We start from the raw sequence: 18,616 nt of genomic DNA on the forward strand, positions 1-18,616 counted from the left end.
GAGGCCTTTGACATACAGCAAAAAGCAGACAATCAGTGGGAGTACTTTGTGAGATGGTCTAGAGAATAAAATAGGATTCTCTGTTGTTGATTGAAACTGGATCCACATGCTTTGGTAACCAGAGGAAATAGTGGTAAGTTTGACAATCTCTTAGGAAAAGTGAGTATATTCTTTAATCCTCACACCCCATCATTCCCTTCATAGCCACCATTTACACTACATCACTCGCCTGTGGTTGGCAGCCATGACATGCCTGGAATGAAATATGAACCTGCTCTTCTTCCCACCAGCTTTATCCCAGGCTAAATACATCCACAAGGCCTTAGCCTCTGGCTCAGCATCAGGAGGAAAAGTAGCACCAAGACCATGCCCAGAAACAGCACAGTTGCCTTGGGGTTATCAGTCTGGCAAGTGAAAATGAATCTTTTCAGAGGGCTCAGCCTTCCTTTGCAGGAGCTTATTCACTTTGAAGTAAATCTTCATAATCACTTTCTGTTTGATTTAGGAGAAGTTTGAAAGCTGTCAGTGAGTTCTGCAGAGATTAAAAAAAATGCTCATCAAGAAGGATGAGGAGCTCAGATGCTGCAGGTTGGGCTCATGGGGACTGACACTTAATGACACTTCAGGCAGTAGAACGGTAGTAGATTTACTCTGAGGTTCTACTACTGAGGGCTACTCTTGGTCATCTGCTGTTTAACTGACTATACATATGAAATATGAAAAATTTTGCACTTATTACTTGTGGCTGACATGTGTAATAAATAGGAAATAATTTCATGGAGATCTTTTTCTTAAATCTGGGACTAAGACTTATGCTAAGTATTACACAAAGCACATTTATTAGGTGCCTAGTTAATACTTCTGAAGTGTATGAATATATTTTTAAACAAAAATTTTTACAAGGGATATAATTCCTTTGCTAGCTCTGAACCTATTTCTTGATCTTTTTAATATTTCATTTTTAAAGGATTTATAGCCCCTGATATTTTCAAAAGAATATACAAAGGCAGAAAGCATATTAAGTGAATTAAAAATCATAATATACACAGGTAAAAAGGAAATAAAGTATTAGTTAAGCATTGGATTTTTTTTCTAAATTTAAGGCAACAGGGCTAAAAAATTGTTTCTATTACCATGATTTTATATAACAACTAAAGAAAACATGCAAAATCATTTGCAGCGACAAACTTTTTTTTCGAATTATAACTCAAGTAAGATTTTATTTTATGAGTGTTTGTATACAGACACACTGGAGTAATAGAGCTGGCATTGCGTACAATTTATAGAAATGCTATTTTAAAAGACTCCATATGAATATTTTGTAAAGGTTAAGGCTTAACATTAAATTAAAACTCATGGAAAGCGTTTCAAGTTGGGAAGGGATCTGAGACAAGAGTCCAAATAAATGCCACGGGACTGATTCTCTCAAATATCTGACGGCATGTGCCACCCTCTAGCAGGTGTTGGGTGTTGGGGGTCAGTCAGTTAGTGATTGAATTCTCAAACAAGTACTTGTAGGACAAAAATTCTGTTCTTAATATAGAGTCACATGCTCAGGCCCAGCCCTAGGCTCAAAGAATCAGTCTCTAGGGGGAACAAAGGCCAGGAACCTATCTATATTTTTAGTAATGTTCTATTGGCAATTTTCAGGCTAGACATAGTTGGAAAGCAGTGCTTTAGGTCACAGTTTGGTTTATGGAGTTGCTTGGTTCAATTTAGTTTAGTTCAGGTTCTAAAAGTACCTCGACGGGTGGGACCTGCACTACTAACGAGAAAAAGTGAGACCAGAATAAAGCACAACAATGAAAAACTCTACCAATGCCTTGTTTTTGTGCTGTTTCCTCCAACATTATTTGGTCATTGTTTTAACAATTGTGGAACACATTACCTTAAGAAAACTGTTTTAAAAACCCCATATTTGGAGAATGCCTTCAGGGAAGATACCCCCATTCATCTCATTCCACGGTTCTGCTTTAATTACTTTATAGGAAAGAGAACCATGTTGTAACTGTAACTATGAAGTAAAAATTTAAGCTCTAGAATTATGTTTTCATATAGAAAGCCAACTAGGTACATAGACAAGAGATAAAGCAACCATTTTCCTCAAAGGACTTCTATGTATGCTTGACTGATTTCAAAATCCATTGCTATAAAACAGAAGATAAAATTTAATTCTGAAATTTTTAAGTTGGACTTTACAGCTCACTGTTTTTCCCCATCTGCCTTTTACCTACCCACAGACTGCATCCATGTGTACATAGTTCTCCTTTAAAGCTATCCTTAAATTTAATTCTTACTAATCCAGGTATTCTAGCTAATTCTAGATATCACCTGTATAAAAGTGTTTCCAGGATTATGGGCGAAGAAGTTGAAAGGGGAATATGCTATGCAAAATGTGATTTATTCCACAGACTATACTTTTATAGGATTGAGGTAGGAAAAGCAAATCTGCCTCAACCTACAGATTAAAAATTAAAGATCAAAGTTTGTCTTGATAATAACTTTACCCAGGCAGGATTCTTTCTTGACCTCCACAAGGTCAGAAGTCATGCTTTCTATCTGCACAGCTTCAGAACTGACAAATACCTTTCAAATGCATTATCTCACTTAATCATTATAACAACTCTGAGGGAGAACATATCCCCACAGGAACAGATGAGGAAGTTGAGGCACTGAGGAGTTCAGGGTTTGCCCAGTGTCACCCAGCTTGTGAGTGACAAGGTCAGGCTTTAGGCCTTTGTGTCACAGGAATGGGTTTCAAATCCACCCCAGCCATCAGTCACTGACACATGGTGGAAAGAATGTTAAAGATGAAGAAATAGTTTCCTAGAATAAAGTTACAGCAGTCTGTGCATCCTTCTGCAGCTAATAACTGGGGCGTCAATTTCCTTTGAAATTCATGGCCCTAAATAATCAGCTTCTTAATGGAAGGTACAAAAGACTTAGTGCTATAATTTATGATGCTGATCCTCATCTACAATTAGATTTCACAGACCAGGAACTTGAGATATAAAAAACCACTAACACAACATCTTTGCCAATATAGAAAATTACTAGTATGTTCATATCTTTACAATATCTATTTCTTATTAAAACGAAAAATGCAATAGGCCATCTTCCATCTATAATAAGTTTGATAAGATCACCGTATTTAAAAATCTATATTTAAGGCAATGAGATAAAGATCTGCTTACCCCTCCTTCAGGTCATTAATGGGAAGTGGCACCCTGCCACCCCTGTCTAGGGCCGATGTGATGTTTATGGCGTTCAGGCGCTCTGGCTGCCACACATTTTTCACTGCGCCAAGAAAGTCTCCAAGAACCTCACTGGCCAACATTTCTTCTACATTCATATTCTTAATGAAGAATTCTGCTTGATATGGCAACGGGAAGTCTAATTTTGGTGAAAAAGGGCATGCATATCTTTAATGAAGTAGTCTTTTAAAAAGGAAACAAAAGAACAATTTGCGATTTGTTGAGTTCTGTCATAATCCTGGCAGCAGGAAGCAATATTAATACTGACTTTAAAGGCTTTCTGTTTAACAGAGGATGTATCTAAAAACATAACTGACATTAGAAACAGAACTTTATCTACAATATAATAAAATCCAAGGCTCATCAGAGGCTCATCAGGGCAATTTATAGTTATAGAATTTGGCAAAACAACTAAGAAAAGCTAAATCTACATTTTAAATTTATAATATTACTGATCTTTTGGGGAGCATGCTAAAATATTACTTTTTCTGAAATAAAAATCAATTATATGTCCAAAAGGAATTCTAAAAACCAGAACAATTCCACAGTTTTTAATCACACTATAATTAAATATTCTAGAAAAATTATAAAGTTCTCATGGAATTCCACTTCACATTGTTGGAGATTTAGTGTTTTTTCCTCCTCAATGTGTCATCAAAATTTCCCTCTAAATATTTCATGATTAACATCTTAAAACAACCCCATGTCAAATTCAGCCTTTCAATATGAGAAACTGTAAGTAAATATAATTTGTTACTCAAATGCTACTCTTCAATTACAAATCATCACTCTCTATATTCTAATTGTTCTCTTACGATAAATAATAGCTTTCTGTTTATTTAATAATATTTCTGTAAGAATAAAGGTTAATTTTTTAAATGTATGTACTGTGAGGCAGGCCAAGCTAGGGGACTTAGGTGAATTAGAACATTTAATTCTCACAACAAGAGGGTGTGTAGCTGCTTGTGTTTTTCATTGTACTTTCATACGTGAAAGCTTATCTTTAGAGAGGTCCAGAAGCTTATCTCATAATGTGAACTTACCTTGTACGACTTTTATCTATGCTAAAAGAGACTGCATATATAAGGTGCTCAGCAGAGCTCCCAAAACATAGTAGGAGCCTATAAAATATTAAATGTTAGCTCTAATTATAATAATATGAAAAGGTTGATTATCTGAATTTTTACTTTAAAAAGACAAGAAAATGTTTCTAGGTGCTACACAGATTTAAAGTCCCCAGTAGTAATTACACTATGTATATCCTCTCATTTATTTCAATAAAATTCATGTATCTGTAAGATATTCCACTTTTATTTAATGAACAAAAAATAAAAATTACATTAAGTACCTAAAATCTTGGTTAACTTATTTCTTATGAAGCATCCTATTAAAGGACATTTGATGCCTGAGATGAAGTCAAAGAAGAAACTAACGCTTCAGAATTTTCAACAGAGTTTTCTAGAGTGTGGTCATCACTTTTTAAAGATTTAGTTTTTCAAAGCCCTAATCATAGAAAGTTCTTTGCTTATCTCCTATATTGTCACTTGTTCTGCTTACAATTTTGTTAGATTTCCTTAATGTATAGCCCATCTGCAATTTAAAATATATTTATTCTCATATATGCAAATAAATTTCGTTTTATAGACATATTTCCTGTTTTATACAGATAAATAGCTTAATCATGCTACATTTATCTGCATACCTAGAAATAGTCATGCAGAAATGTGTTATGAGAAAGTTTCTTGGCAATAAATAATAAAATATTTATAAATAATACAAATACAGCTTTTGAATATGCCAGAAGTCTAAAATCTATTCATTTCATTCAATGTTTTTACATCCAGTTTTCTTAAAAAGTATCTAAAACTTTTTTCTTATGATCAGTGCTACTTTTTGGAGAATTATTATCTGGCTTTTCCTGTTCCACGTGACCCAGCTTCATGGCTCCTTTTCTGAGACCTGCTGCAAAGCCTGTGGTTGCCACCACACCCCTCAGAGGCTTTGAGCTGGGCAGCTGCCTGCTATCTACCCATCCAAGAGCTGCTGCCAGGCCTCCCAGAGATGAGTCACAGCAGCTTTCTAACTCTGGGGAAATCCCATGCCTGCTATATTTGGAAATCACAGAGGCCAAGAGAACAGTAGGCCAACAGATTGGTGGCAGGCCTCTGAGGCACTAAACCCAATTTAGAGAATCACTTTATGTACTCTCCTTGAGCTTCATGCGGTGTGAGTCTACATGACTAATTTCCCATTAGATCTCTCAGAACAGGAGACAGCTGGGCAGGGAGTTGGACAGAGCATGATTACCCTGATATATAACTTTTGTTATTTCTTTTCCTAAATCTAATCTGGGATAAATAACATGAGTGTAGGCCATGCTCAAACATGTACATCCTACTGCACATATACATTTCTGTCTAGACCAGCAAGGACAAATGCATGGACTTTAGTGCAGTGGTTCAAATAGGTTTGGGCCACTAACCCTACACAAAAAGCAGAGGAACAAGCACTGCCTGGAGTAAAGGTGGAGGCTTCTAAAACCTGTCTACTACTCCTTCTCACTAGCACACCTTCCAAACCCGTTATTTAGACAAAGAGCCCTGCTGCCAATTTTCAATCCTACAGTTGTCTAGCAGTCTTCCATTAGTATCTACTTGACCACAGGTCCTCATACGTCAACAACAACATCTATTGAGATGCCTTGAGTAATCTGTATCTACAGCACTGAGACTAGATTTGAGAAGGAAGAAGTTCAAACTATAGAACAAGCTTTCAATTTGTAGGGACTCTCACACCTGACAGAGTTTCGAGTCCCTTTGAGAGCATAATGGTGAGGTGAGATGGTCCAAGGCCACTGTAGTATAACTTTATAACTGTAATGATGAATTCCTAAGGAGGAAGGAAACTTTTCAATTATTCTGCTCATTAAGTGTATTCCAATTCTACAGGGCCAGCTTAGACAGCATGTAAGCATCCAATCACCACTGTAGTCAAGAACAAAAATCTCCCTGATCCAAACATAAATACCTACCAAAAGCCTTTGGGGAGTGGCAGAGTGGACAGGGAGTCTTCAGTCCAGGCCCACAGAACTGGCACTTGGACTTGCTTTTCATATATGAAGGTCATTTTAAATTTTAAACTTGCACATTTGTTGTCTACAATTGATACCGGTAAACACCTGGGGGAAAACATTCACTTAAGGGGGTTTAAGTGTTCAAGCAATCTCTCCATACACGTTTAATTTTACAGAAATTCCTTCTTTCATATCGTGTAAAAGTAATTTTTAACCCAGCCTTGACTGCATTATCATTAATGCTAAATTAGTAGGTTCTGATAAAATGTTTGGTGTTTGCTCATTTGTTTTTAGTTGCACTAGTAAATAGAAGCAAAAATTCCCCTATCAAGAATGCACAATTGTTTTCTTGTTTTTAGAGGGAAAAAATTCTGGATCAGTTTCCCTCCTGTCATTCTCATAAATGATATCTAACATAGGGAGGATCATTCCATGATTTATACAATTCAACTACAGGCCAGGTGTGGTGGTTCGTGCCTGTAATCCCAGCACTTTGGAAGGCCAAGGCAGGTGGATCACATGAAGTCCGGAGTTTGAGACCAGCCTGGCCAACATGGTGAAACCCCATCTCTACTAAAAATACAAAAAATTAGCCGGGTGTGGTGGCAGGTGCCTATAATCCCACCTACTCGGGAGGCTGAGGCAGGAGAATCACCTGAACCCAGGAGGCGGAGGTTGCAGTTAGCCGAGATGGTGCCATTGCACTCCAGCCTGGGTGACGAGAGCAAGACTCCATCTCAAAAAAAAAAAAAAAGAAAATTAACTACAAAGTATTTGGTGATATTTTCCCAATTGATTAAAATATTTGAGAGTGTAATTCTGAGAATACTTCCTTATCCCTAACCTTCAAAATTCTTAGGAAATCACTTACAATTTGAGCATATGAAACTTTAAATTGCTGAAAGACTCTACAAATTACTAATACACTATAAACTATTTAGGAAGGAAATTGTACCCTAAGTTATGGTTTATTTGTTTTCCAGAAACCCTATATTATCACATATACTTAGACTATTACCTACAGTAAATTTTTAAATAAAATAATAAAACTAGTTAGTAATTATTTTTTTTGAGACAGGCTCTCACCCTATCAGCTAGGCTGGAGTGCAGTGCTCCAGCCTTAACTTGTGAATCCTTACCCCACACTTATAAGAGAAATGCTACTGTTAGTCCCATTTTAAGGTAATGAAAAAGGCTTAGAGAAATAAGAGGACTATCTGTTTGGCTTCCTATCTGAGTTTTCACCATCATAACACACCATAATATTTCATAATAAATTACATATTGCTTAGTTTTCTTTTCTATATCTTATTATTTCATCAGTTATATTAGGTATGTGGCATTTTAAAATTCTTGACTATATTTTATGTAGTTATAAAACATAATGAAATACTTCTTATAAATAAGAAATGATCAACATATTTTCATACCTACCTTCTGCAGACATTATATTAATTATCAAATTATGCCTTGCAGTCTCAAAGGTGCGCCTGTTGTAGGCAGTTATCTATTATAAAAGGAAAACCATATTAAAGAAGTGAAATGTTCTTTGTAAAATGAAATTCATTAAGGATTAAAATGAAAACAAATTGTCATTCTTTCCATTTTCATTATTTGTTGATATACTTACAAAATATTCCTTCTCTGGGCAATGAGAACTCAGAGCTTTTAGCAATATTATGGGAAAATAAATAATTAGTCAGGTCTATTTAATATACTGAAACAAAAAGTTAAAATCAGAAAGACTCTTTCATAGAAGGCCATTAAGCACTGGTAGCAATGCAGATGCATCATTAGTAAATGGATTAACCATTATGAATTACTTACCAGTGATGTTCTAAGATTTCAAAAAAAAAACAATAATTTTTGTACTTTTAAATGGAGTTTAAGAATTATAATGAAAAGTACACTTTAAAACAAGCATATCTTTGTGTTTTTTTGCATTTAGTACTAAACTGCACCCCAATCAGTCAAAAAATGTCATAAATAACCCTTTGGAAATCATATCTCACTTACGATGGGAGTAAAGTAGTAAGGATCATAGTCCATGAAGCTTATGGAACATGCTCAAAAACACAAATCAATCCCTTCATACGGGCAAATATTAGTAAACATTTGCAGAGCCAATAGACTTACATCAAAGTCAATTCAGAAACAGCCAGTGCAAACAACACACAAAGCAAAGGCCAACAACAGGATATGGCTTCAAAACTTAAGGCCTATTTAACTTTATAACAGATATTAAATCATTCGGACACATCTGCAGTACCTCAAAAAAAAAAAAAAAAACAAATGATTGTGTCAAAATCTTAGAATCCCAGCACTAACCTTCTGGCAATGATTGCAGCTGGAGGTGACACTGAGACAAAAGAGTAGGATAAAACTGACTTCAACTAAAAATAAATATCTTGTGCATTTTAAAACAAATATCAAAGATTTTTATACATTACATGTGTCAAAAAATAAGTTGCAGTCATTGAAAATACTGAGTTAGAACAGTAAGAATTTTGAAATAAATAATTTTAAACTTTTAACAATGTTTAAAAGGTATATATTTTGAAAGGCATATTACTCCATAAAGTTAAAAGAACCTCTCTCTCCAGGATTTGCCAAATTTCCATCATATTTAATTATTTCCTTGCTGTTATCTGTTGGGACACATGATCAATTAATTTCACACCGGACATTAAAATTAAGACTAGCCATTAAACAAACTAGGAACTTTTGCTCAAATGAAACATACAAAAAATGCAAAATAGATTTTGTTTGAGAAACTTAATCATTTGAAAAGTTTACCCTGCAAAAAATTTAATCACATTTTCAATAAAAAGTATGATCCTCTACTATTTGTTACAATATCATGAAGCTTCAGCTTAGAAAAAAAATAGATTTTTTCAAATTAATAGCAATATTTTTATGGGTAGCCTTCCCTTAATCATCACAAATTTCATTATTATAAGTTTCATAAATTCCAATAAATGTCTTTATTTTTAAATAATGCAGACTATTGAAGGGAGTGAAGAATATTTCATATCAGGAGGAAGAATTTTATTACCTGATTTTATAGTTGATGCTTAATTTTAACAGCTATAACAGAATGTAGTCCTTCTATCACTTCCAATGAGACATTTAACTGCTGTAATATCCTCAGATTTTACTTATTATGATGATGTGAAGACCGTCAAAGCAGAAGAAAATGTGAGTGTCTACGTGTGCATACTTTATTTTTGATTCCCCAATTTCTAAAACAGAGCTGATCTATTTTAGATACTTAAAATCTAAATATTTCAGATAAAAATCTACTGAATGAATTAGTAGACTTATATGATTAAATATTATATATTTAAGATACAAAAATTCTTGACTAAATAGAATATTTTAAAATACTATACCTGTTACTATAAATGAATGTGAAAATGAGCTATTTACAGATAAGTCACTATATTATATGAAAGATATGGTAAACTTTCTTTTTTTTATCTTTTTACTATATTTTTATACATATTCATAACACAGTATGTTAGTCATAAAGTATATAATGAATGCACTCACAATGAACTCTTATGAAACCATCCCAGTACATGTGTTTCTCTCCTAGCCTAAGCCCTTACCTCTCCCCAACCAGAAGTAGTCATTCTGGATTTGGTGTTTAACGATCCATTCATTTAAAATACAGTTTTATTATAATTGCATGAATGCTTAAAGCATATGGTTTAGTTTGCCTGTTTTTGAGCTCTACCAAAATGGCAAACTATTACAGGTGGTCTTCTAGTACTTTTTTTTAATTGAACATTGTGTTTAAAACACTTATCCATATTGCTGGGCAAGCTTAAGTTCACTATTGCTCTGAACATTCACTGTGTGAATACACCAAGATTAATATATTCTCTTGCTGATAGACTTTTGGGTCTCTATTGTTTTGTGGCTTTCCAGTGTTGTGCTATACAAATGTTGCTTGATGAGCATGATTGTACCTGCCTCCAGGAGGGCATTTGCAAGTACTTCTTTGGGGCATATTGCTAGAAGTAGGACTGCCAGATAATAAGGTACAGGGATACTCAACTGTATGAGATATTCAGTACTGCTTTCCAAAGTAGTGATGCCAACTCCCACATCCACCTGCAATGCATTTTACTGATGGCAAAATTTTCATTGTGATCTCCATCTGAATATTCCTCATTACCCATAAGAGCAAGCTACTTAAGTTTATTGGCGTTTGTGTCTCCTCTTTAGTGAAATATCTGTTTCTTATTAAATTGCAGGATTTCGTTTTTATTTTAGATACTCTTAGTCAGCTATATGTGTTGAAAATATCTTCTCCCAGTTTGTGGGTTGTCTTTTTAAATCATGCTCTGGTTTAATGGTTGATAAACAGACATTCACAAATTTCATATAGTGAAATTGATAAATTTTTTCTCTTAAAAATATTTAGGTCTTACTTAACAAATCCTTCCCTATCCATAGGTCAAAGAGATTTTTCTACATTTTAATATAATTGTTTAAAAATTTGCATTTTACATGTAATCCCTAATCTACCTAGACTTGAGACCTGGCATATATTCTGTTAGATTTATTCCTAGTACCTCAACATTTTTGTTGCTATTAACAATGGTATTTTTAAAAACGTGTATTTTCTCAATACATGCTATTCATGTGTAGAAATATAACAGTAATTTATAATGATCTCACAGTTCACTGCTAGCCTTTCTTAAGATTCTTAATAGTCTACAGACCATTTATATCATTGATGGTTTCCATTTCTTCTTTTTAAATCCTTAGGGATTTAATTTCTTTTTCTTTCTTTACTGTACTGGCTGGGACCTCCAATACATTCTGTAATAGATTTATCAGACAGAGTCATTCTTGTTTTGTTCCTGAATTTAAATGAAATTTCTCTAACATTTTACTATGAAGAATGATGTTTGCTATTACTTTTGGTAAAAACTGGCAAATTAAGGAACTTCACTTCTATTCCTAGTTTGCCAAGAGCTATTTTTTCTTATCAAGAATAGGTAGTAAATTTTAATAAACACTTTTTCCATAACTATCATGACAATTATGCTGTTTTTCCTTCTTTAATCTAATAATGTGGTGAATTGCATTTATATATTTCTTTTATAACTTTTACTGAATATTTAAAAAAATTAATTTGACAATAGCTCAAACTAACATGCTTCTTCTAAGTACCTGTCTATCTTATAGTTACACTGCCTTAAGGAATATGATTTATAGATAGAAATCACTGAACAGTTAATACAAACTTCAATTCCAACTGAATTGGCCAATGTGGAAGCTCACATCCACAGTACACAGCTGACTAAAACTTTGGAGAAAAATTCATAGTATGTAATCCTCTGAAAGGCTGTATTCTTTTAGTTTATACATCCATTCATTTTTTTAAAGTATTGTATTAATTCCTACTAAAGATTCAATGTAACAGTTGTTTTGTTGTTGTTAATTTCTAGTATCTCCCAGCTACAATGCTAGGTGCTGGTGAGGACCTGATGAATGGTAACATCACCATCACTTCTAGAATAAAGGCTAAACGTACCAGGATGGCTTACAGAGCCCTCAAAGATCTGCCCCTACCAGCATCAACGCCTCCCATTCCCATCATTTACCTACTAGGGTACATCCTATTCCAGCCACACTTATAGTTCTCTGAGACCATGTGACTTTTCTTATACCTCTAAGATTTTGATGTGTTGTTTCCTCCGCCCAAGATGGCCTTCCTTCTACTTTGTCAAGTAAATTCTTTACCTTCTTACAACTCTGCATCAAACAGCACCTTCTTACTATAGCAGTTATTACAGTGTTGGCTAAGTATTTGTTTACATCCCAGTCCTCCAACCCCTGAATTGTAAGAAGACTGGGCAAGATTCACCTATTATTTATCATTCTATCCCTAAGCACCTATCACAATGCTTGGCAAGTAGCAGGGGTATATGTCTGTTGATGGCTATATTTCAATGAACATAAAACTTGAATTCAAAATACAGAGCAAATAAGTCTATCAAGTCTACAATTATTTTCTCAAATAGAATTCATATTATAATAATCTCTTTTAAGGTCATATTTTTTTCACAAATTTAGACTGTCATTTTTAATATAAAAGCTGAAACAAAAACTTTATAAACAGAGAAGAATGGCACATTTCCAAATGTTATCTACTGTGTTTCCATGCACAAAATATTAAAAACCACCATCAGGTAACTTTAGTTTCAACACTTAAAACTCAAATTACAATACACACACACACACACACACACACACATATATGTATAGTTTTGCTCTTTCTAGGTGTAAATTACCTCAATGATTGTTGGCTTCCCCACATTTTCAGCTGTTGGGGACCCATATAGGACTCCATCACTATATGGTGTCCTTTGGATATATCGAAGCCATCCAGGTCGGTCTGGGTAACCCATTAAATTTGTATTAAATGTTATGGGATCATTACTAATCTCGCCTAGATAAGAAACAGAGAATTAAGACATAAGACAGTTATTTTCACACATGTTGCTTTGGTAGTTTCAATCAAAACATTCTGTCTAAAATTTTTTTCTTACATTTGTAGCCAACTAAATACACACATACAAAACCCATCTGGGAATTTAAATTAGGGCACCACGTTAAAAAAAATCCTTTTGGTTGTTTAATTTGTTTCAAAATCTGATGCAACAAAGAAAGCAGATTCATACAATTTTCTTGGAAATATATTTTTGGTCACCTAACAGTGATATAGTTCTGCCAGTGAGACAACTATCTTTCAGGAGAATTCCCTAATCATGCTAATGTACTCATTCTTTTGCGAAATATTCCGTTCATGAAACTCTGGACACTATCATATGAGTATGAAAGATATTCCAAAATTATAAAAGTCTCATCAAAACAAAAATAATGTAATTTTAAAACACTGGAGGATAGGATGAAAAAGACGTTACAAATCCATAACAACTGTACTAACGACAGCATTTATTAATCACAAGCAATAATAACAGCATCATTTATTAGCACATCCTGGCCCTGTGTTAAATGCTTTACAAGCCGTATTTCATCTTCTTGAATACTATTAGGAACATGGCTAACTATATTGTGGAAGAGTTTTCAGGTACAGTATTCATCATATAATCTTCAAAAAGAATAGTTATATCAATTCTAATGCTAAAAACATTCTTATACAATATAATTTTCAGAAAATTCACTTTTATTTGCTGCTTAAGGAAGAGCTGTAATGATATGTTTTCTCTTGCTATTCTTTGTATATCTTCATTAACTTGATGGCATTTATGATCACTCAAAATAACATATTTAAACCAATAGTGAATTAAGTAAGACTTCATAATTGGTATCACTTAAAAGGAAAAATTAATCTCCATAATATTATTATGGAGTTATATAAAATTATCTCCTATTGTAAAAGCTTTTTAAAAGCTCTTACCTAATGCCATTTTTCATTCTCCTCTACAACATATGTATAGTTTTCCAAAAATCAATGTACTATGTGAGAATCTAGGTCTTAATATAGAAAATCATAAGTTTACAGCTATAATTATTTCCATGTGAATATAGGTAGATCACTTGTCAGAGACATAAAACTCAAGACTGAGAATCCAGAAATATGCTTTCCTTAACATTCAAAAATAAATTATTTTTGTCTGTAATTAAATTTCTAATCTGTAAATGAGAAATATCCTACAACAATTTATCACATATTTAGACCATTTGAAATAATGTTAATGATATTTTATCATATATGTCTATATTATGCAAATTAAACAAAAAATTTAGTACGTTAACTGCTTTTTTTTCCTCACAAAGAACATACCAGGTTTTGGGTAAGGTGGAAATTCCCCCTTAAAATATTCTCTTTCCAAAACATGAACAAAGAGGACACCTGCTGATGGGTATACATTCCGATCGGAGTGTACCTTGGAGAAAATACTGTACACTGAAAACAAAGAGGAAAGATAAGTGACAGAAAGACAAATAATGAGATACGCCCTTGATAATTCAGCTTACGCTGTTTATAAAGAGGGGTCTCACTATGTAGACATTTCTGGAAAAACTGAAGCAACATGCAAGGAAACTGTTAATAACAATTTGTTTTAAATGGAAGTGATTTCAGGACAAAATGGGAAAAAATTCTTTTGATTTGTGTTTACAGCCTTTTCAAACACTACATAGACAAAATTATGCACATTTAATATTTTAGACTGTTATCAAATAATGAAGCTATCCATAATATCTTTTTGGTAATTTCTTTTTACTTGAAGTTATTACCAACAAAATACATCATGAGAACTGACCAGCTACATAATTGCTACAGATTTTTTTCTTCTTTCCTTTTTTTTAAAGCAAAGTACAGAGTAATTTTTAAGTGGTAAGAATCCATACTATACTAATTGTTTTCTAGACAAAGCATGTCAGACTATATAACACTATCAATACATGTAATGCGGTTTTTACGTATACTTATAAAAATGCATTGGATACTTTTTCTGGGTATTCATTCCTCGCATCTCTTGTAGAAATGATTTATTCAATTTTCTCTGATCTTGATATTTAATAATTCAAACAATATAATCTATTATATTATGCTGCATCCTAAATAAGCAATAACAATTACATAATAAAATTCAGGCAAAATAATTTAAGTGAAATAAGCAAATTTCATGATTTACCAGTTACTTAAGACATATGATATGAGTACATTAAAATGACCAATTGTTTTGATTAGTTTCCACTTATTGTTTTTGCTCTGATAGCATCTTCTCCACTAACACATTATTGCCGTTACTCTTGTCACTTCTACGATCTCTTTTGGGTTTCTATATTCCTGATTGGCTAGTGGCTGCAATTTTTAGAGAGATAAACCCTATCAGGCCAGTTCTTTCTTTTAAGTCATTAATGGATTTGTAAATATGGTAATTAACCTTATGAACCACAAGGCTGCTCACTCCAAGCTCACAACTTACTAAAAGCCTTGGATAGCAAGATCACTGAACTACATTTTTCAGCACAAAAATAAAAACTCCCACAAAATGTTTCTTTATCTGTGAAAACTTGTCCCTGCAGTTCGGTGGATGGCTGCCAGAAAAGGGGGAACTGAGCTAAAATATTTGACTTGTAGCTTCACGTATCTACAGATTTACTACTAAAAACATAACTTCAAAGGCTGTGTAACAGAGGGAAGGAAGCTACAAGTTATGTTTAAACTAGGTATGCAGAGAGATCTATTCTTTCCTGATTTGTTTTGTACTAGTATTCATAAGTGATCTTCCCCTGTGGCATTTACAGTACCCAACTTCTACTCAAGAACAATGTACTTACCAGCAGGAATAATCCCATTCCGCGAAACAAGAATGAATGAATCACAGAAAAATAGTAAAGATGAGAATTTTATACTTTTTTTTTTTTACCAGTTTGATACCACAATGTACCCTGAATGTGAGGTGCTATGGGGAATATGAAGATGAAAGAGACCCTGCCACTGCTTTCCAGGAGTTCACCATCTGGTATGGGAGACCAACATCCACCTAACTAGGTATTATCCCAGAGGTAAAACTGCTTTGGCAACACCTGGAAATATGGGAGGAGCAATTAAGGTTGGACAGATTCAGAAAAGATTTATGGAAGAAGTGGAATTCAATATGGCTCTTAAAATACTACAGTAGTAGGATTCTGAAACTCAGAGATGTGGAATTTCAGCATTTCACAGTGAACATATGTGCAAGATACAATACTGGATACTGTGGGGGCCTTTCGGGGAAGGGAATTAAGTCAGTAATGCTGGATCCTGGGGTAAATTTAAGGTAGGGGGAGGCAAAACTGGGAAGAAAAGAAGAGTTAAAATAGGGAGTTTTGAACTCCTGCTAAAAAGTCATTTCACTCTGTATATCAAAGTATTTAAATTCAGGATCACAACCCTACATCCAAAGCAGAGAACATTACAAATAATCTAAAGGAATCTCTTTGTAGTTTATCTAATTATCTAATTCATTCTTTCTAGAGATTAAAAATACCTTGAAGTACAGCACTAAGTTTTATTTACCTTGCTATTTTCTCGGCAGCTAGAAGAGAGTCTGGTATATTTGAATAATTGTATCAATGCCTATGGAATGGATGAGTACATTCTAATACAAAGTACGGCAGAGGTAAACACAAGTTTCCTATTAGTGAACTAAATATATATAATACTTAGAGGGATAGCATTCTGTAGATTATCATCCTTCATTGACATTATAAACTAATAGTCTCCCTTAGTATTTGCTGCTATAAGGTGGTAAAAGCTAGCTAACAAAGCAAAATGAAAGGTTGTTCATATTAAATAATACTGAAATGATTCCATTTTCTACATTGCCCTCCACAGGTCCTGAAGTGGAACCATTAAAGAAAGGGTACCTGCCACTCCATATCATCTCACTTCAAGAACTTGCATAGAACATCTCAGTTTCTGCTTTTATAAAAAACATTTCTGCGTTCTACAGAGCCAAGACACAATCTACCATGGCCCTCCTGGGTTTGAAGATGACAAGCACATTTCTTTATTCATGTGTACTCAATTGCCTTTCAGCAATCTGCTGAACTGCATACTTGCTGGTCAGTTACCTTGGCAACTCCACAGTAAAGGCTGCTTCACTTTAAGTATAGTATGCCATTCACTTTGAGAAAAACATGATACAGATGTATGACACATTCATCATCTAGAAATGGAAAATGACTAAGCCACTATGTTTTGTTTGTAAAAATAATACTTCCTTTCTGTAGCATCAGTTTAAATTACAGGCACCCACACAACATTTTAGAGGAGTGCCCTTTGCCTTTCCCTTTCGCATTTGTTACTTGCAAAACAAATAGCTCTGCAACGGAGGCAATTTAGGCAGTATTTACACCTATGCTTCCTTTCAAAAACAACAAATGACACAGAGAATTCGAAGCTATAGGTTCTTGTTCTAAACGTGAGCTATATAAATAAAGCTGATGGGGTCCACTCCAACACCTACAGAGGCTATTACTAACAGTTAACACATGTTGCAGTCACATATGCCCAGGCAGCACTCACAAACCATAAGCTTAAAGCATGTTGTTTTCCTTAAGAGCAAGTCTTGAAAATCAAATTTAAACACTCTAAGAATCCACAACACTAAGATCTAATAATCTCTGAAATATACATGTGTACAGTGCCATGCTAATCAAGCCAAGGTAACAGGGTCTGGCCTCTCTGTGTATCGCATGGTTTTGCAATCTTCTACGGCTGCAAATCCATTACCTCTGCAAACATACGCCACTAGATATAAATGAAACTGGAAAACTATGGGTGGTTAAATCCATGCAATTCTATCACTATTAATGGGAAAAACAATGAGACCAAAAGTCCAACCCGCAAGAGGTCAAAAATATCATCTCCAAATAGCAAGCATAGCTAGATTTACAAAGATTAAAAACTTCTGAAGACAGGTAGTCATAAGGAACAGAATTTTTTAAGTAATAATTACATATCTGAGTAGAGAGAGCCAAAGGGTTATGTAAGCAAGTAGCTGGGATCATTATCTCGCTCTCCCTAAACATAGATCCAATTTATCTCATCACCATGTTACCAAAACCTTGTTCACAAAACTGTTATCTGTATGTTTCATTCACAGGGTATAGAATCTGCAGCCATTTCAACAACTCTATATTATGTGACAGCATAGAGCCCAGAATCAAATAACAGACCACGAAAGCAGTAGCAAAAAAAAAGGGAGCTCATGCTAGCTAAACAATGTCTTGTTTTCCTTTACTAATAGTCCAGTGGAAACTCTCTCTCCATAATGAAAATATATGGGTGTGCACGTGTGCTTATTACAATTACCTTCAAAGCAAGTTTGAATGTATTTAGTAAACATTAAATTTTGAAAGTACTATGGTGGTACGCTGCCAATGAATCCACAGCATATAACTTCACAATTCTCACAATGATTATTCTTAATGGCATGTGCATAAGCACAGGCACACACACAGCCCCTTCACTACAAAAATGTCCAGAGAACACTTGCCAGTTCTTTTTCTGCATCACCAAGAACAATTACATGGCTATAAAGATAAAATAACAACTGAGTATAAGACCCTGCAAGTTTGAGCTAGTTTTAAATCTTAAAGCCATCTGTCTTCTGAAATCTTTGAGAAGAAAGTCATAAAGTATTGTCAATATTTATGTCCGGGTGACTTTGATTAGGTACCCAGTATGTTTAGGTCTCTCTTATAGATGCTTTATTAATAAACTAATCACTTTAAAATGTCCATTTAT

The 18,616-nt window shown here is 34.1% G+C and overlaps 2 protein-coding genes across 16 annotated transcripts in view, besides 2 other annotated features; one reads left to right on the forward strand and one right to left on the reverse strand.

Annotated features, from left to right (window-relative positions):
* CASD1 (CAS1 domain sialic acid O acetyltransferase 1) overlaps positions 1-18,609 on the forward strand; it is a 124,364-nt gene extending 105,755 nt beyond the window's left edge. Inside the window, exons 18-20 of one of the 4 annotated variants that reach the window (XR_007060140.1) lie at positions 15,753-15,888; positions 16,401-16,484; positions 16,700-18,609. Coding sequence is in view for 1 of the 4 variants with exons in the window: in XM_011516495.3 (XP_011514797.1) it covers positions 15,753-15,800 (48 nt within the window). In the remaining 3 variants the exon portion in view is untranslated. Of the gene's footprint in view, positions 1-15,752 lie in introns of all 4 variants that reach the window. The other 3 variants (XR_007060139.1, XR_007060138.1, XM_011516495.3) reach the window with 3 other exon arrangements.
* Positions 1-18,616, reverse strand: part of SGCE (sarcoglycan epsilon) — a 71,154-nt gene that overhangs the window by 30,584 nt on the left and 21,954 nt on the right. For 10 of the 12 annotated variants that reach the window (NM_001346717.2, NM_001099400.2, NM_003919.3 and 7 more), the window contains 4 exons: positions 14,156-14,278; positions 12,639-12,796; positions 7,762-7,834; positions 3,195-3,393 (listed from right to left, as the gene is read on the reverse strand). In NM_001346717.2, coding sequence (NP_001333646.1) covers positions 3,195-3,393; positions 7,762-7,834; positions 12,639-12,796; positions 14,156-14,278 — 553 coding nt within the window. The remainder of the gene's footprint in view (positions 1-3,194; positions 3,394-7,761; positions 7,835-12,638; positions 12,797-14,155; positions 14,279-18,616) is intronic. The other 2 variants (NM_001362809.2, NM_001301139.2) reach the window with 1 other exon arrangement.
* Positions 5,108-5,157: an enhancer, noted in NCBI's record as "active region_26289". NCBI's record gives its function as "activates an Ori minimal core promoter by ATAC-STARR-seq in GM12878 lymphoblastoid cells {active_cell/tissue: GM12878}" and the evidence as "EXISTENCE:reporter gene assay evidence [ECO:0000049][PMID:35858748]".
* Positions 5,198-5,517: an enhancer, noted in NCBI's record as "active region_26290". NCBI's record gives its function as "activates an Ori minimal core promoter by ATAC-STARR-seq in GM12878 lymphoblastoid cells {active_cell/tissue: GM12878}" and the evidence as "EXISTENCE:reporter gene assay evidence [ECO:0000049][PMID:35858748]".

The sequence above is a fragment of the Homo sapiens genome, chromosome 7 (assembly GCF_000001405.40).
Source record: "Homo sapiens chromosome 7, GRCh38.p14 Primary Assembly".
NCBI classification, from domain to species: Eukaryota; Metazoa; Chordata; class Mammalia; order Primates; family Hominidae; genus Homo; species Homo sapiens.